The 18,596-nt window shown below is 45.2% G+C and overlaps 1 protein-coding gene across 105 annotated transcripts in view; it reads right to left on the bottom strand.

The window, feature by feature from the left end:
- Window positions 1-18,596, bottom strand: part of MADD (MAP kinase activating death domain) — a 60,844-nt gene that overhangs the window by 6,110 nt on the left and 36,138 nt on the right. For 76 of the 105 annotated variants that reach the window (NR_164835.1, NR_164840.1, NR_164841.1 and 73 more), the window contains 7 exons: window positions 15,223-15,331; window positions 14,880-14,942; window positions 14,521-14,641; window positions 14,310-14,415; window positions 12,080-12,190; window positions 8,595-8,702; window positions 87-251 (listed from right to left, as the gene is read on the bottom strand). Coding sequence is in view for 97 of the 105 variants with exons in the window: in NM_001376651.1 (NP_001363580.1) it covers window positions 87-251; window positions 8,595-8,702; window positions 12,080-12,190; window positions 14,310-14,415; window positions 14,521-14,641; window positions 14,880-14,942; window positions 15,223-15,331 (783 nt within the window). In the remaining 8 variants the exon portion in view is untranslated. The remainder of the gene's footprint in view (window positions 1-86; window positions 252-8,594; window positions 8,703-12,079; window positions 12,191-14,309; window positions 14,416-14,520; window positions 14,642-14,879; window positions 14,943-15,222; window positions 15,332-18,596) is intronic. The other 29 variants (NR_164837.1, NR_164838.1, NM_130470.3 and 26 more) reach the window with 3 other exon arrangements.

Raw genomic sequence — 18,596 nt, 5'->3', positions numbered from 1 at the left:
TTTTGGAATTTTAACTTCCCAAAGAGAAATTCACTATTTGGTCTTCAATGCCTACTAGCCCCAACCCAAACACAGATCCTGCGTACCTTTTTAGTATAGAACTTGTTGAGCTGGGTCTCAGAGCCATTTCTACGCCACAAGCACAACACCTTCGTCTTGGGACAGTAGGTCATGTTGATGAGCTTCTCGTACCACCAGCGCTCATACACTGTTCCGATGTTACTACGCAACACCACACAGTCATCGCACACCTGGAGAAGTGCACAAAGCGGCTCAGTGGTTCCTGTCTCTGACAGCCTCTCCCTAGACTGTTTCCTACAGGGAAAGGTGGTCCTGGGGCATCCCCATGGTCAGGTTTTCTGCCTTACGCTCATGGTTTCCCTAGGTGAAGACACAAAACAGAACTACTGACATGCTGCCTGCTACAAGGATTGTTGGAAGAGATGGAGTCATTAGAAGGAACCGATGTATAAGGGAGGAGGCACAAATCAATCAGTTATTTATTACCTCTTTTTTTTTTTTTTGAGACAGGGTCTCACTTTGTACCCCAGGCTTGACTGCAGTGGCGCCATCTCAGCTCACTGCAGCCTCGACCAGCCAGGTTCTTCCTGCCTCAGCCCCCAAAGTAGCAGGGACTACAGGTGCACACCATCACATTGGCTATAATTTTTTTTTTTTTTTTTTGAGATGGAGTCCCACTCTGTTGCCCAGGCTGGAGTGCAGTGGTGCAATCTCGACTCACTGCAACCTCTGCCTTGTGGGTTAAAATGATTCTCCTGCCTCAGCCTCCCGAGTAGCTGAGATTACAGGCACACATCACCATGCTCAGCTAATTTTTGTATTTTTAGTAGAGACAGGGTTTCACCATGTTGGCCAGGCTGGTCTCGAACTCCTGACCTCAAGTGATACACCCGTCTTGGCCTCCCAAAGTGCTGGGATTACAGGCGTGAGCCACCGCGCCCGGCCCAGTTATTTATTACCTCTTATGTGCTCTACGGACTTAAAGTATTTGGAGGAGATCTCATGCCTCCATCTTACAAGCTCAGGAATCATCTTTGTTGACAAACACAAAGGTAGGAGATCATGACAGACTTAACCAAGGAGAAAAATGGAGCTGATGCACTTTCTAATCCTGGGTCTACCCTTTTTCTATAAAAATATTTTTAAAAATTAATTACACAAGTGACACATGAACAATGCTTATTACATAAAAATGATACAATACAGGATGATATAAATTAAAAAGCAAATATCTTTGACACCTTCTTGTTCAACATTCTCTTTCAGGTGAAGTTATCTGTTCTTCTTTTTGAGACGGATCTCGCTCTGTCGCCCAGGCTGGAGTGCAGTGGCGCAATCCCGTCTCACTGCAAGCTCCGCCTCCCAGGTTCACGCCATTCTCCTGCCTCAGCCTCTCGAGTAGCTGGGACTACAGGCACCCACCACCATGCCCGGCTAATTTTTTATATATTTTTTTAAGTAGAGACGGGGTTTCACCGTGTTAGCAAGGATAGTCTTGATCTCCTGACTTCATGATCCGCCCGCCTCGGCCTCCCAAAGTGCTGGGATTACAGACGTGAGCCACCATGCGCAGCCAGTTATCCGTTCTTAAGGCTTCAAATGTTACGGGAGACATTACAGCACAATGGTGAAGGGCACAGGTCTAAAGTCAGCCTGAGTTTAGATTCCAGCTCTGCCATTACTGAGCTGTGCCACCCTGAGCAAGTTCATCTGTGTCCACAATTCCTCACAGGTAAGATGGGGATAGTAACAGTAATAACTTCCTACAGTTACTATGAAGACTAAATGAGTTAATGTGCATAAAGTATTTAAGGTGCACACAAAGCCAGGCACACAGAAAGTACCCTAATTAGCTACTAGATATCAGAACTATGATACTAATGATTATTACCATGTTGATGGTTCTTACCTTTCTCCATCTTAGACCTCTCTTCCTGAGCTCCTGAGCTTCTCAGTGTCTGGATGCTTCACATGTAGCACCTCAAACTCATTGTGTCCAAATCTGAACTCAACATCTCCTCCTGGGCAGATCCTCCTTTTAAGTCTGCTATTTGAGGAAATGGCACCACCATCCACCCAGCTGCCCCAGCCTGAAATGAAGAATTGATGCCCGACTCCTTCCTCTTCCCTCTAACTAACTACACTCCATCACTGAGTCCCATTGGTTCTAGCTCAAATATCCCTGACTGCTCTTCCACTCCCCAACCATTAACTCTTACTCTTTCTTCAAGTCTAAGCTCAAAGGTCAACTTCTCAAAGGAGTTGTCCACAGCTCCTAGGCCCTCTGGTATTTATTCTGCCCCCCCTGAGCTTCTTTCATAATGCTCACCATATTTTATAATACTCTTTAATTATCTGATTTCCCCAATAGCTTGTCAATGCTAAGGGCAATAGAAATCACGTCTGTCTTATTCACTGCTATAATCCCAACACCCAACAAAGTACCTAGCATATAATACGTGCTCCACAAATATTAGGTGAGTGAGTAAGGAACACACAAGACTATCAGGTTTAAGCTACTGTATAAGACTTTACTGGAGTTCTAAAGCCTTTGAAGAATCAGTCAAAGTGGCAGAGTAGGAATGGGAAACTTGAGTTCTAGGCCCAGTCTGACTCTGTGGTTATCTCCAGGGGGAAAATGGACAATACCACTCCACCTTTCATAATCCTTTAAGAACATCATGTAAAGGCAGGCAGAACACATTTAGGAGAACACATGATTTCTAAGCTAGAGCATTCTAGTCTAGAGAAATGCTTGTAATATACTGTTATAGTCGTCTAAGTGGCTGTTGGAGGTGTAAACTGGTATAGTTTTTGGGATGGCAATTTGGCAAAATCTACCGAAATTTTAAACGTATATAAGCTTGACTTGAAATTTTCATGTCTAGGACTATATCCTATAGAAATTCTCATGTGAGGGTGCAAAAATATATGTTCAAGGATATTCAATGAGCAATTATTATTATTATTATTATTTTTTGAGACAGGGTTTTGCTCTGTCACCCAGGATGGACTGAAGTGGTGTAATCAGAGCTCACTGAAGCCTTGACCTCCCAGGCTCAAGGATCCTCCCAACTTAGCCTCCCCAGTAGCTAGGACCATAGGCATGCACTAGCATGCCTAGCTTATTTTAAAATTTTTTGTGGAGACGGGGTTTCCCTATGTTGCCCAGGCTGGTTTTGACCTCCTGGGCTCAAGCGAACCTCCCACCTCAGCCTCCCCAGTAGCTGGTACCACAGGCATACATCACCACATGTATGACTAATTTTTAAATTTTTTATAGAGACAGGGTCTCCCTATGTTGCCCAGGCTGGTCTCAAACTCTGGGCTCAAGCAATCCTCCTGCCTCAGCCTCCCAAAGTACTGGGATTACAGGCGTGAGCCAACATGCTTGGCCTAATGAGTAATATATAAATATATATTTCATTTTTTTAAATTTTTTTTTTGAGACGGAGTCTTGCTCTGTCGCCCAGGCTGGAGTGAAGTGGTGCAATCTCGGCTCACTGCAACCTCCGCCTCCCAGGTTCAAACAATTCTCTGCCTCAGCCTCCCAAGTAACTGGGATTACAAGCACCCACCACCTCGCCTGGCTAATTTTTTGTATTTTTAGTAGAGGCAGGGTTTCACCATCTTGGCCAGGCTGATCTTGAACTCTTGACCTCGTGATCCACCCACCTTGGCCTCCCAAAGTGCTGGGATTACAGGCGTGAGCCACCACACCCAGCATGAGTAATATTTTTTTAAAAAATAGTGAGAGGCACTAGTTAAACCAATTATGGTACACCATACGACATCTAATGGCTAAGCATCCATTAAAGAAAAAAAAAAAAAGACACGGAAAGGTATATCATTAAGTGAAAAAAGCAAATTATTTAACAATATTTGTAATTTTTTTTTTTTTTTTTTTTTTGCGATGGAGTCTCGCTTTGTCACCCAGGCTGGAGAGCAGTGGCATGATCTCGGCTCACTGCAACCTCCGCCTCCGGGTTCAAGCGATTCTCCTGCCTCAGCCTCCCATGTAGCTGGGATTGCAGGCGCCTGCCCAACACGCCCGGCTAATTTTTGTATTTTTAGTAGAAACAGGGTGTCACCACGTTGGCTAGGCTTGTCTGGAACTCCTGACCTCAAGTTATCCACCTGCCTCGGCCTCCCAATGTGCTGGGATTACAGGCTCATGTGAGCCACCATGCCCAGCCCAATATTTGTAATTTGATACCACTTTCGTAAGTGCAAAAACAAAATTCCATATAAATAAATTATATTTGCACAAATATGCATTTTCAATAATCTGAAAGGAGTCACATAAAACTCTTCATTACTGGTTACCTCTGGGACAAAGGATTGAAAGGCAGTGAGTAAAACTTTTAATTATTTTTTAACTTTGGCACGGTTTGAAACATTTACAGCATATACTGTTTTACTTCTGTAACTAAAAAAAGGGCAACAAAGACAATTTTTAAAAATCTTTGGCTGGGTATGGTGGCTCACACCTGTAATCCTAGCATTTTGGGAGGCCAAGGCAGACGGATCACTTAAGGTCAGGAGTTCAAGACCATCCTGGCCAACATGGCAAAACCCCATCTCTGCTAAAAATACCAAAAATTAGCCAAGCGTGGTGATGCGTGCCTGTAGTCCCAGCTACTCGGGAGTCTGAGGTAGGAGAATCTCTTGAAGTCGGTGGGTGGATGTTGCAGTGAGCCAAGATTGTGCCACTGCACTCCAGCCTGGGTGACAGAGCAAGACTCCACCTCCAAAAAAAAAAAAAAAATTATATATATATATATATTTTCCTTGGCCAGGTGTGGCAGCTCACACCTGTAATCCCAGCACTTTGGGAGGCTGAGGTGGGCAGATCACTTGAGGTCAGGAGTTCGAGACCAGCTTGGCCAAAATGGTGAAACCCCGTCTCTACTACAAATACAAAAATTAGCCAGACATGATGGCATGTGCCTGTAGTCCCAGCTACTCAGGAGGCTGAGGCAGGAGAATCGCTTGAACCTGGGAAGTGGAGGTTGCAGTGAACCAAGATTGTACCACTGCACTTCAGCCTGGGCAACAGAGTGAGACTCTGTCTCAAAAAAAAAAAAAAAAAAAAAAAAAAAAAAAAAAAATTCCCAAACTGCTGTCCAGTTGATCATGCAAAAAGCAGGCTATGCTCTGAGAAAGGCTAAATCAAATAGCCTCACAGGAGCCAGGTGATGGCACAGTGACCATGGTGCACTCTTCCCTGGCATGGCACCACTTCGAGGAAGAGGCATCTATTTGGGTAATGGGTCCAGTCCCACACTCCAGAGACTTAGCATGAGGCTCCCTTTGTACGGTGGTGAGAGTAAGAGTAGTTCAAGGAATCTGCTGGAGATATTTTTTTTAAAAGGAAAAGAAAAGGGCAAGAGTCATGTGCCACTTCTGCTGTGGTGCAGATGTCCTAAGTCAGCCCTAGGCTCTGAGAGGCAACTAGCCAAATTCTAACACTTTAAAGGGTGACATGAAAATGACTCCTTCTTGGCTACACTGACATGTATGTTTCTGCTTCAGGGTAAGCCCTTCTTGCGTTTGGTAGACCACCTGTTCAAAAAAACTGTGAATGTGATATTCAAATTCAGCTAAACCACAGGGGAACAGATAACATAGGCAAAATTTTACTACTTTATATATAGGAGTTGTATTTGGTCCTTAAAATTACTTAGGTCTGTTTCAGAATTAAAAACACAGAAATGAAGAAAACACGGCCAATTTCCTTTATAATCCTGGAGAGTAAGGCTTTTTCTAACCATGCCTCAAAATCCAGAAGCCGTAAAAGAAACTATTGATTAATTTAATTATATAAAAGTAGCCAGGCGTGATGGCTCACACCTGTAATCCCAGCACTTTGGGAGGCCGAGGTGGGTGGATCACTTGAGGTCAGGAGTGCGAGACCACCCTGGCCAACATGGTAAAACCCCATCTCTACTAAAAACACAAAAATTAGCCGGGTGTGGTGGCAGGCACCTGTAAACCCAGCTACTTGGGAGGCTGAGGCAGGAGAACTGCTTGAACCCGGGAGGTATAGGTTGCAGTGAGCCGAGATCATGCCACTGCATCCAGCCTGGGCGATAGAGAGAGACTCTGTCTCAAAAAAAAAAAAAAGTTATATACAAATAAAAAATTTATGTGTGTCAAAAAATACCATAGGCAAAATCAGAAGACAAATGAGGAACTTTCTGGTGGGCAGATCAGGTTGCCCACATCTGAGCCCACTGATGTGTAAGAGAGGGACAACCATATGAGGCAATAGGAAGCGTATAGCACCACTCATTAAGTATTCTTCCCAAAAGAGTGAATCTGAAAGTGATCAAACCTCTAAACTGAACTACCAGTCTATGAGAAATATGTGACAGGAAACACGCTAATACAAAGGAGACACAATCAGCAAAAAATCTAGAATGTAGGAGACTCCACAGGGCAAACGATCCAATTTCTTCAACAAAATTAATGGCAAAGGGGGTATTACGTGTTATGAGACACTTAAGAATTATATCAACCAAAATTACAAATGCATTGTCCCTCTGACCCAGCAATCTCATTTCTGGGAATCCTTAGACACACTTGCACATGTATGAAATGAAGCAGGCACAGCATCATTCACAGTATGACTATCAGTAACAGCAAATTTGGAAGCAACCCAAGGATCCATATGTACTGACTGGTTAAATAAATTAAGGCACAGTCACACAGTGGAATACATGTAGCCATAAAACCAATGGGAAAGCTTTCTTGGTACTGATACAGAAGAGGACCAGGACAATGTTAAATGAAAAAAGCAAGGGATAAAGCAATGGATAAGATGTGCTATCTTTCTGAAAGAAAGGAGAAAAATAGGCCAGGCGGGGTGGCTCACGCCTATAATCCCAGCACTTTGTGAGGCTAAGGTGGGCAGATCACTTGAGGTCAGGAGTTTGAGACCAGCCTGGCCAATATGGTGAAGCCCCGTCTCTACTAAAAATAGAAAAATTATCTGGGCATGGTGGTGGGCGACTGTAATCCCAGCTACTCAGGCAGCTGAGGCAGGAGAATCACTTGAACCCAAGGGGCAGAGGTTGCAGTGAGCTGAGTTTGGACCACTGCACTCCAGCCTGAGCAAAAGAGCAACACTCTGTCTCAAAGAAAAAAAAGAAAGGAGGAAAATAAGAATTTGTGTTCATATTTTATTGTTTGCATAAAAGTCCACTGGAAGGCCGGGTGCACCGGCTCACGCCTATGATCTCAGCACTTTGGGAGGCCGAGGCGGGTGGATCAGTGAGGTCAGGAGTTGGAGACCAGCCTGACCAACATGGTGAAACCCCATCCCTACTAAAAATACAAAAAATTAGCTGGGTGCGGTGGTGGGCGCCTGTAATCCCAGCTACTTGGGAGCCTGAGGCAGGAGAATCGCTTGAACCCAGGAGGTGGAGGTTGCAGTGAGCTGAGATCAAGCCATTGCACTCCAGCCTGGGCGACAGAGTGAGACTCCGTCTCAAAAAAAAAAAAAAAAAAAAAGAAAAAGAAAAAAAAAATCCACTGGAATTTACAAAGGAAACCAATAAAAGTGGTTGTCTATAGGATGAAGGGGTGAGGGGAGTGGGAAATTCAGTGGAAGGGGACAAGAATGAGTGCAAGACCTCCCAATGTGTACTATTTTCTGTTATTCTGATTTATGAACAATGTGACTATATCATCTATATATAGATATCTTTATGTATATGTGTGTGCGCGTGTGTGTGCGCGCGCACGTGTATAAAAGAAATGGGGCCGGGCGCAGTGGCTCACACCTGTAATCCCAGCACTTTGGGAGGTCGAGGCAGGTGGATCACTTGAGGTCAGGAGTTCAAGACCAGCCTGGCCAACGAACATGGTGAAACCCCACCTCTACTAAAATACAAAAAATTGGCCGGGCATGGTGGCGCATGCCTGTAATCCTAGCTACTCAGGAAGCTGAGGCAGGAGAATTGCTTGAACCTGGGAGGTGGAGGCTGCAGTGAGCCAAGATCACACCACTGCACTCCAGCCTGGGTGACAGAGCGATACTCTGTCTCAAAAAAAAAAAAAAAAAGAAATGGGTATCATCTACTATATAAAATTTAATTATTTGAATAACAATCTGATAATTTGGCCGGGTGCGGTGGCTCATGCCTATAATACCAGCATTTTGGAAGGCCAAGGTGGGTGGATTACTTGAGGTCAGGAGTTTGAGACCAGCCTGGCCAACATGATCAAACCCCATCTCTATTAAAAATAGAAAAATCACCTGGGCTTGGTGGCTGGCGCCTGTAATCCCAGCTACTTGGGAGGCTGTGGCAGGAGAACTGCTTGAACCCGGGAGGCGGAGGTTGCAGTGAGCCGAGATCAAGCCACTACACTCCAGCCTGGGTGACAGAGCGAGACACTATCTCAAAAAAACACACACGCAAAAAACAAAAAAACCAATCTGATAATTTAATGATAAATAGATCATGAAGATGAATGAGATAAATGAGAAAAATATCCTGGCATCGGTCCTATGAGTTCCCTGTGACTCTCAATAGCCCTTTGGGCCCCCAGCATGAACCAGCACCTACCTCCATGAAAAAGATATCTCCGTTTGTATCTGTCCCTGCATGTACCACAAATGTCTGCTTCTTCATGTGCCGGCTGCCACTGGACCAGATAGAGAGATCGCGTCCATTCTGATGAAAGAGAGATTTTTTAGGGACAGTCATACATCCCTCTCAGAGGGCTCTGGGCCAAGAATTCCCCATCCAGCAATCAAATTCATATCGGCTTCCTCAGCACAGTCTCATCTGCTGGCCACTGGTCACCAGGGAAGTGGTTTCAGATGTTTTGGTCTCAGAGGCCCTATATCTCTTAAAATTTATTGAAGATTCCAAAGAGCTTTTGTTTATGTGAGTTATATTTATAGATATTTACATACTAGAAATTTAAACAGAAATTTCTCAAATGATTAATTATAAAAACAATTAATGATTAATATAACCCATTACATAGTAATATAAACATTTTTAATAAAATAACTATATTTTCAAAAAAAAGGCACTGTTTCACATTTTTGCAAATCTCTTTAATGTTTGGCTTAGAATCAAATAGTTGCATTCTCCTATCTGCCTCTGCATTGAGTCTGTTGCAGTATGTTGCTTTGGTTGAGGTATATGAAAAAAACTTGACCTCAGAGATACGTATTTGGAAAATGGAAGAGGATTTTCATAGCCTTTTCAGATAAATAGACGTATTCTTCTTTAACACTACACCAGAACTTGGGAAGCAGAAGCTTCTTTTTTTTTAGAGACAAGGTTTCGCTCTGTCATCCAGGCTGGAGTGCAGTGGCATGACCATAGCCCACCACAGCTCTGAACTCCTGGGCTTAAGTGACACTCCTGCCTCAGCCTCCCAAGTACCTGGAATTACAGGCATAAACCACAACACCCAGCAAAAGCAGCTTTTGAAAGTTAGTTGCAGTGTGGAATCTGAAAGCACATCAATGAACATTTTACATTGTTACATTAAAATCCATTTAGGCCAGACATGGTGGCTCATTCCTATAATCCCAACACTTTGGGAGGCCAAGTCAGGAGTACCGTTTGAGCCCAGGCAGGAGTTGGAGACCAGCCTGGGCAACAAAGTGAGACCCTATTCTCCATACACTTTTTTTTTTTTTTTGAGACAGGGTCTCATTCTGTCACCCAGGCTGGAGTGCAGTGGTGCTCACGGCAGCCTCAACCTCCTGAGCTCAAGTGATCCTCCCACCTCAGCCTCCCAAGTAGCTGGGACTACAGGTGCATGCCACCATGCCTAGCTAATTTTTTTATTTTTTGTAGAAATGGGGTCTCCCTTGGCTGGGCGCGGTGGCTCACACCTGTAATCCCAGCACTTTGGGAGGCCGAGGTGGGCGGATCAAAAGGTCAGGAGTTGGAGACCAGCCTGACCAGCGTGGTGAAACCCCATCTCTACTAAAAACATAAAAATTAGCCGGGCGTTGTGGCGGGCACCTGTAATCCCAGCTACTCATGAGGCTGAGGCAGGAGAATAGCTTGAACCTGGGAGGCGGAGGTTGTAGTGAGCCGAGATCGCGCCGCTGCACTCCAGCCCGGGTGACAGAGTGAGACTCCGTCTCAAAAACAAACAAACAAACAAAAAGAAATGGGGTCTATGTTCCCCAGACTGAAAAAAAATGTTATTTAAAAATTAAGATCCATATCTCTGCCTTGCATTTTGAGTAGATCTTTTATCCATACTTGAATTTACAACATCATACATTGGTATTTAGAAAATACTGTTGGCTGGGTGCCTGTAATCCTAGAACTTTGGAAGGCCAAGGTGGGCGGATTGACTAAACTCAGGAGTTCAAGACCACAGCCTGGGCAAGATGGTGAAACCCCGTCTCTATTAAAATACAAAAAAAAAAAAAAACTAGCCAGGTGTGGCAGCATACGCCTGTACTCCCAGCTGCTCAGGAGGCTGAGGCAGGAGAATTGCTTGAACCCAGGAGCCCAGGAGGCGGAGGTAGCAGTGAGCCAGCATCCTGCCACTGCACTCCAGCCTGGGCCACAGAGCGAGACTCCGTCTCCAAAAAAAAAAAAAGAAAGAAAATAGTGTTTCACTGAGTTACACAGCTCTTCCAAATGTTGACATATTTTGTAATATTAAATCAATGTTTAAAAAATCACATTCATTAATATCACCACCAATCTCATTAGAAAAGTCTTTAAATATTGGGAAGCTTCAAGTTCAAAACTCTGCCAAAATTCTTATTTTCACTTAAAAGCTGAATCTTATCATTGGCAACAAATACTGTCAGTTGTTTTCCCTGAAACAACAGGCTCACTTGATTAACTGAAGGAAAATGTCTGCCAGTTGGGTACTCTGAATAACCATGGTTTATTAATTGTCCTTTCCAGTAAAAATGATGTTCAATGAACAAAGCGATTAAGTTCACTTGCAACTCAAGGTGAACAAATCAAGGCTGCAAATTGCTTTTCTTCAAAACAACCATCATACTGGGTTTGCAACAGAGATGCTTTATGTGTACTTCCCATTTTGTCACAAAGAATATTAAAAACATTTATAATTAATCAATCTAATAAGAGTAACAGTCTTCACTGCTTCTTCAAGGACATTTACAAGCACAACTGGCATTTTTAAAAAACTAAGAGTGTAAGCCAGGTGCGGTGGTTCACACCCGTAATCCCAGAACTTTGGGAGCTAAGGCAGGCAGATCACTTGAGGTCAGGAGTTCAAGATCAGCCTGGCCAACATGGGGAATGCCCATCTCTACTGAAAATACAAAAATTAGCTGGGCGTGGTGGTGCATGCCTGTAACCTCAGGAGCTTCAGCTACTCGGGAGGCTGAAGCAGGAAAACTGCTTGAACTCGGGAGGCAGAGGTTGCAGTGAGCCAAAATTGCGCCATTGCACTCCAGTCTGGGCAACAAGAGAGTGAAACTCTGTCTCAAAAAATATATATGTATATACAAAAATTAGCTGGGTGGGCGGGCACATGCCTGTAATCCCAGCTACTTGGGAGGCTGAGGCATGAGAATCGCTTGAACCCAGGAGGTGGAGGTTGCAGTGAGCCAAGATTGCGCTACTGCACTCCAGCCTGGGCGACAGAGTGAGAGTCAGTCTCAAAAAACAAACAAACAAAACAAAAACGAAAAACTGAGAGTATATGAAGGCAAGGAATGCAATGGCTGCTGGCATAGTTTGGGGCCATTGTCTTCACTTGGGTTACAGTGCCAGCAGTTTTACCCATCACTGCGTTGGTACCATCAGTGCAAATGTAACCCCGTGAAAACAGCAAATAACATTTTAGAATCATTTGAAATCGTTTTCACCTTCTGAACCCTCAGCAGTTCACAGACCACACATCAAAACTGATGCACTACGATGGTTTTATACAGAGAATCCCATCACAGAACACAGGGACTAATGCCTCATTTACAGTCAAAGACAACTGCTCCATTTTCAAAAACGGGGTGAACTGGACTGCAAGTGACACAAACCAAGAAATGACCCATGGGGAAGCCTAAGGGGTGGCCAGACGTGCTTACCAGGTTCGCCAGCTGATCAAGCACCTCATTGATTTGCTGGCTGTACACAAGCCCAATGTGCGACTTTCCCATTAGGCGCCTCACCTTCTTGCGGATGTCATTCTTATTTACCTGAAAAGCCAACACATGACTCTTAACAAGGGATCTGCTCTCCTCCCGACTGAGGTAGAGAAAAGAGAATGTACAAGTGGGCTTCCCACCATCTGAGAGAAGTGGAATTCTGAAAGACCACATCACTGAACATGGGAGAAAACTTTCAACTGTGTATTCTGCCACCATGAGGGGAAGAAAAGTCCTGGCTCTGTCTCTAGTTAGCTTCTGCAGAAAAGTGGCTCTTAGAGCGGTTCTGGTTCCAGGGGACACTTTCTCCCTATCCCCACTCAATACCACAACATTCACCCCTACAAGGGCTCTAAAAACACCCAAGGCTCTTCATAGTGTAATTCAGAAACAATGACTTAGAGTGGCAACACCAGACTGGGTAGCCAAGACATCTCTGAAGGTTAGGGATCATCATCGTTTCTCAGCCAGAGTCAACTGGTACCCTCCAAATTCCACAGAGTACAGTGCAACTTACACCAGGAAATGAAGCACACCAAGAGGGGCTGGGGGCATTCTCTGCATTTGATCAACTGATCCCTTCACACTTAGGGAGGTTGGGGAGAACAGAAGGAGGAGAAACCCAGTGGCTCGTTCTCCAAACAATTCTCTTCTACCCATCAACTCCAGATTTATGTTTCCCTTTCAGAGCAGAACTCTTCTACTTGGTAACATACTTCTTCCACAGCTATAAAACCAAGTACAACCAAATCAAGTTAAAATCTACTATTACTTTGTTAATGAGTGGCTCTTTTTATAACTATAGAAAATTCTGTAAGATATAGGGCTGTGCTGAAAAACAAATTCTGAGCATCATTTCTTTTTTTTTTTTTTTTGAGATGGATTTTCGCTCTTGTTGCCCAGGCTGGAGTACAATGGTGGAATCTCGGCTCACTGCAACCTCCTTCTCTCAGGTTCAAGCAATTCTCCTGTCTCAGCCTCCCAAGTAGCTGGGATTAGAGGCATGAGCCACCATGCCCAGCTAACTTTTGTATTTTTAGTAGAGACAGGATTTCACCATATTGGTCAAGGCTGGTCTCGAACTCCTGACCTCAGGTGATCTGCCCGCCCTGTTCTCCCAAAGTGCTTGGATTACAGGCATGAGCCACCGCGCCTGGTCCTGAGCATCCTTTCTAAGGTTTTAAAATCTACTATTGTAAAAAAAAAAATTAATTCATTGTATTTTGTGGGAAGCTCTATTGGCACCCTAAAACTACTTAGTAAAGAGAGACCACATAAATCTCAAAATAAATAAATAATGGCTGGGTGTGGTGGCTCCTGCCTGTAATCCCAGCACTTTGGGAGGCTGAGGCAGGAGGATCACTTGAGGTCAGAAGTACGAGAGACCAGCCTGGCCAACATTGTGAAACCCCGTCTCTACTAAAAATAGAAAAATTAGCCAGGCATGGTGGTAGATGCCTGTAATCCCAGCTACTTGGGAGGCTGAGGCAGGAGAATTGCTTGAACCCGGGAGGCAGAGGATGTGGTGAGCCAAGATCGTGCCACTGTACTCCAGCCTGGGTGACAGAGTGTGACTCTGTCTCAAAAAAAAAGAAAATGAAAATAAATAAATAAATAAATACTATGGAATCATCAGTTCTTGGTCGGGCGCACTGGCTCACGCCTGTAATCCCAGCGCTTTGGGAGGCCAAGGTGGGTGGACCACTTGAGGTCAGGAGTTTGAGACCAGCCTGGCCAACATGGTGAAACCCTGTCTCTACTAAAAATACAAAAACTAGCTGGGTATGGTGGTGTGCGCCTGTAATCGCAGCTACTTGGGAGGCTGAGGCACAAGAATCACTTGAACTGGGGAGGCAGAGGTTGCAGTGAGCTGAGATTGCGCCACTGCACTCCTGCCTGGGTGACAGAGCAAGACTCCGTCTCAAAAAAAAAAAAAAAAAAAAAGAGAATCATCAGTTCTTCCTACAACACTCCTTAGTAAAACTGGCTGGCAGCTTCAGATAAATGGAACATTTGTAAGCTGGCAGAGAGGCCTCAGACTTTCAATCAAGAAGATAGCCCTAAGTTAAGATACCTTGATAGCTTCCCAGCTACCCCGAAATTTAGGCGACAGGAACAAGCCTTGCCCCTCTAGGATCAGCGGAGCTGGACACAGCAAAATTGACATTACCTTCATCAGCAGCATGTAGGAGATGAGGTTGTGCAGAAGTGTGGCCAACAAGCGATCTTCATCATCTTCCAGGCGCTTCCGGTCATGTTCTCCAAGGGACAGGTACCTAAGGAGAAGACCAAGCACAAGTCAGCCCTCAAGTGGGAGACCACAGAACTAACTGGGAGGAGGCTGAGTTTGCTGATTCCCAATGGTTTCCTAAGCCCCATACCTGTCGATCATTTCCTGGGGACCCTGGTCCATACCCATCCCTTCTCTCTCCAACATCACAGCATCTAAGAAGGCATCTTCCCAGAATTGCATTTGGTCCCATAAAGTAGAACGCTCTTTGCCTGCATAGAATAAAGGTTTCTTAGGGGGCCTATTTAACATTTAAGAATATAGCTGCCAAACAAAAATAAAGAGTAAAATCCAGATAAAAGGGAATAATTACAAATTCCAGGGCAAAGGAAACACAATCTTTCTACCCCAGATCTAACATGCCTGCCACCAGCCCCAGATGCCTCCAAGTAAGGCCCAGTCCCTCCCAAGGAGGAGGGATGAACACAGCACACAAATAAATGTGGTTACTTATAGAAAAGGTCTCCATAGCTGCATCCTCTAACTGGTCCCACATGGATCCTTTGTCCCTTCCTGCCAATTTGAGAGCAGGAAGGACCATGGTAGCAAGAAAGGAAAGAAAGGAAGACAGAAAGGCAAAGGCTGTTGATTAACACCAAAACCCAATCTTGTCCAGTTTTCACCCACTGCTTGTTCTGGACCCAGTAAGTCGCTTGCTTCAGGTATAAAACTGCTATCTAATGTTAGCATTAAGATCAGCAGAAAGACAACCAGCTACTTGTTCAGTGTGACCCTCTCCCCTGGCTGAGTCAGCTTTCTCCAGTGCAAAGGGCCTTCCCAGTGTGTTTCTCACCTAGGAGTCCCTCATAGAGATAGACTCGCTGGCTCACATCTTCAGAAGTACGAATGGGGCTGCCTGCCAGCTTCTCCTTTATGCTTGGCTTCAAGCTGTGGGCTTTACCCTAGAGAGAAGAGGTGATAGGTCAGTGGCCAGAGGTAGCAATGAATAGAGACAAAGGAAACCACGCACTTCACTAAGAGGCTCTCACACCAGTCACCATCCATTAGCAACATAAACTCCAGTACCCCTGCTTCTGCAAGTCCACTTACGCTGCTTTCTGTTACTGCCTCCTAAACTATACAATAAAGTTTTCATTTTTGACTTATCTTTACTCCTTAGTCTCTGTAAGGTTATTTTCTCTTTAAAGCAACAAAAACAACAATCAGATTAATTCTCTGTGTAGCAACATAACACAGCAGAAAGAACCCAGGGTTTGCCATCAGACTGACCAAAGTTCAGATCCGTGCCTCTTATTAGCTGTGTGACCTTAGGTACAGAAATCAGCTTCGCTGAGCCTCATTTTCCTTATCTGTCAAAGGAAGGTTATAATACCTACCTCATAGGACTACTTTACAAGAATTAAATTTGAAGATACATATAAGGCACCTAACAGTGCCTAGCACCTGGCCAGTAACTGAGAAATGTTCATTTCTTCTTTCCTATCAACTCTTACTGACCCTAAAAAATATCACTAACTTCATCTGCTACTTCTGAGTAGATTTTCTATTCATTAAAAGATTTTCAGCTGGGTGCAGTGGCTCACGCCTGTAATCCCAACACTTTGGGAGGCCAAGGTGGTTGGGATCACCACGTCAGGAGATTGAGACCATCCTGGCTAACATGGTGAAACCCTGTCTCTATTAAAAATACAAAAAATTAGCTGGGTGTGGTGGCATGCACCTATAGTCCCAGCTACTCGGGAGGCTAAGGCAGGAGAATCGCTTGAACCCTGGAGGCGGAGGTTGCAGTGAGCCAAGATTGCACCACTGCACTCCAGCTTGGGTGACAGAGTGAGACTCCAACTTGGGTGACAGAATGAGACTCCATCTCACAAAAAAAAAAAAAAGATTTTCAACTAGATCAGAGGTAGGTAATATCATGCCATTTCACAACACATGAAATAGAGTAAGTAGAGAGGCAACTGATCAAAGGTTATTGGGTAAGACCTAATCAGTGTGACTAAATACCAGTCTCCTGGTTCACAGCCCAATATTTTACTAAATGGATCACGTGACTTTATATAATTTATTTCTTATTAAAACAGCCTTGTTTGAGCAAAAAAATTTAGGTCGCTACACTCAGCAGCTCTGTATAAAGAGCCCTTGCTCACCAGCATAGAACAAATACGAATTTGTCCCAGAAAGATGCCAGAAAAGGTAGCACACTGAAGCTGAATGGCTTCCTGCAAGACCGATACTCCATCATACCTATTTTAATACATTTGGAATTAAAACACACTGGAATAATTTCAAATACTCTTATTAAAGCAGCTCACTTTGGCCAGGCATGATAGCTCACATCTATAGTCCTGGCACTTTGGTAGGATGAAACAGGAGGATCACTTAAGCCCAGAAGTTCAAGACCAGCCTGGGCAACATAGCAAGAACCTGTTTCTACCAAAAAAAAAAAAAAGTATAAAAATCTCAGCCAGGAGGGATGGTGCATGCCTACAGTCCCAGCTACTTGGGAGGCTGAGGTGGGTGGATTGCTTGAGCCCAGAAGTTTGAGGCTGGAGTAAGCCATGACTGCACCAAGCCATGACTGCACCCTGCACTGCAGTCTGGGCACCAGAGCAAGACCTTGTCTCAAAAGTAAATAAATAAACATTTTTAAAAAGTTACAACAAAAAAAAACAGCCTAGGGGAGTAATGTCAGCAAGATGGCCGAGCAGCCCCTAAAGCACATCCCCCTCACAAAGAGAGGTAGAGTAATAAACAGCTATACTTTTAACAAAAATAACTGAGGGAGACTGTGGGGGTGTATCAGAAGGGTGACAGGAATGCTGATGAGCACAGAAACTCAGGATGGCCACATAGAGAACAGATGGCAATATCAGGCCTCCCCCCCATCCCCCTTCCCCCATCTAGGATCAGCTGGGAACAAGGAGGAACTTCTCCCCACAGCAAGGAAGTAAGCAAGACAATTCTAGAAACTGCCACCAGCACCTTGGACACCTACAGACTTCACCACTGGCTTCCCTACAGTCCTCTAGGCACTAAGCCCAGCTGAAGGAGCTGCCTGGAGTCCATACAGCTGTGCTCCCTCCAGAGAAGGAGCCAATACTATGCGCCAGCCCCTGTGGCCTGTGCAGCTACTGTGCTATGCCATCTTGGAAGTGGAGCTACAGTGGGATTGTGTTTTGCTCTGGGGACAGATGGCCACAGCTCCCCTTCATTCCTGAGGCTAAGCCACCAACAAACCACTCTAGCCTGATGTCTTGACAATCTAAGCCAAGCTGTGAGCAGCTATTACATGATTCCCCAAGGGGCCAAGTGGAGGCAGAGCCACTCCACCTACCCCTCCCCACTCCCCTTGGGCTGCAGCTGAAGCAGTACCCTATCCACTATGAAAACAGTACTTAGACTGCTCAGAGCAGTCAGGCCTCCCTGGTGCCTAAGGTGAAGAAGCAATCTGTATCCCAGGAAATGGTGCCTTGGCCACCCAGGGCAGTCATGCATCCTAGCACCTAACTTGAAGCGGCACCCTGCATTCCAATGATACTGTGCCTGGGTCACCCAGAACAGTCATGCCCACACTAGGCCTGTGCTAAAGCAGCACATTGTCCCCAGGGGAATTGGTGGCTGGCCAAGCTGAGCAGCTACGCATTCCAGGGCTGAGCTGACACAGTACCCCATGTCCCAGGAAACAGAGCAGTGGCTGAGCTGAGATACCTTGCCCTAGCCAAACAACTCCAGTACCCTGCTTCCCTGGAACTGGACTTGCCCCTAGAGTCTGAGCTGCTAAGATACCCTCTTCCTGGGGAGTGGAGTCATTGCTGTGCTGCTCCCTGACCCCCAGGGCCCAAATGACAGCTGTGCTCTGCCACGCTGGGGTATTCGCTGCCATTGCACTTGGCTTCACAGAGTCTAGGATACAGCCAAGCCCCACCATCCTGGAGTCTAGAGTCACTACTACATGGTGCCTCATTCCGTGGGACCTGAGCTGCCACTGAGCCCTATTGGCTCAGATCCCTGAATTGCAGCTGTACCCTGCTCCCTAGGCCCAAACCTCCAGAGCACCCCTTCTTCCACAGAGTAAGGCCAGTGCTATGGCCTATCCCCCAGTATTAGAATCACAGTTATGAGCCAGTCCCCTGGGCCTGAGCTGCTAGCGGGTGCCTCAGATCCTGGCTCTGTGGGCAACCTACATCCAACCTTGCCACAGAG

This window comes from Homo sapiens, chromosome 11, assembly GCF_000001405.40.
Source record: "Homo sapiens chromosome 11, GRCh38.p14 Primary Assembly".
NCBI lineage: Eukaryota > Metazoa > Chordata > Mammalia > Primates > Hominidae > Homo > Homo sapiens.
Note: the sequence above shows the minus strand (reverse complement) of the source record. Positions and strands in the feature narration are given on the sequence as shown.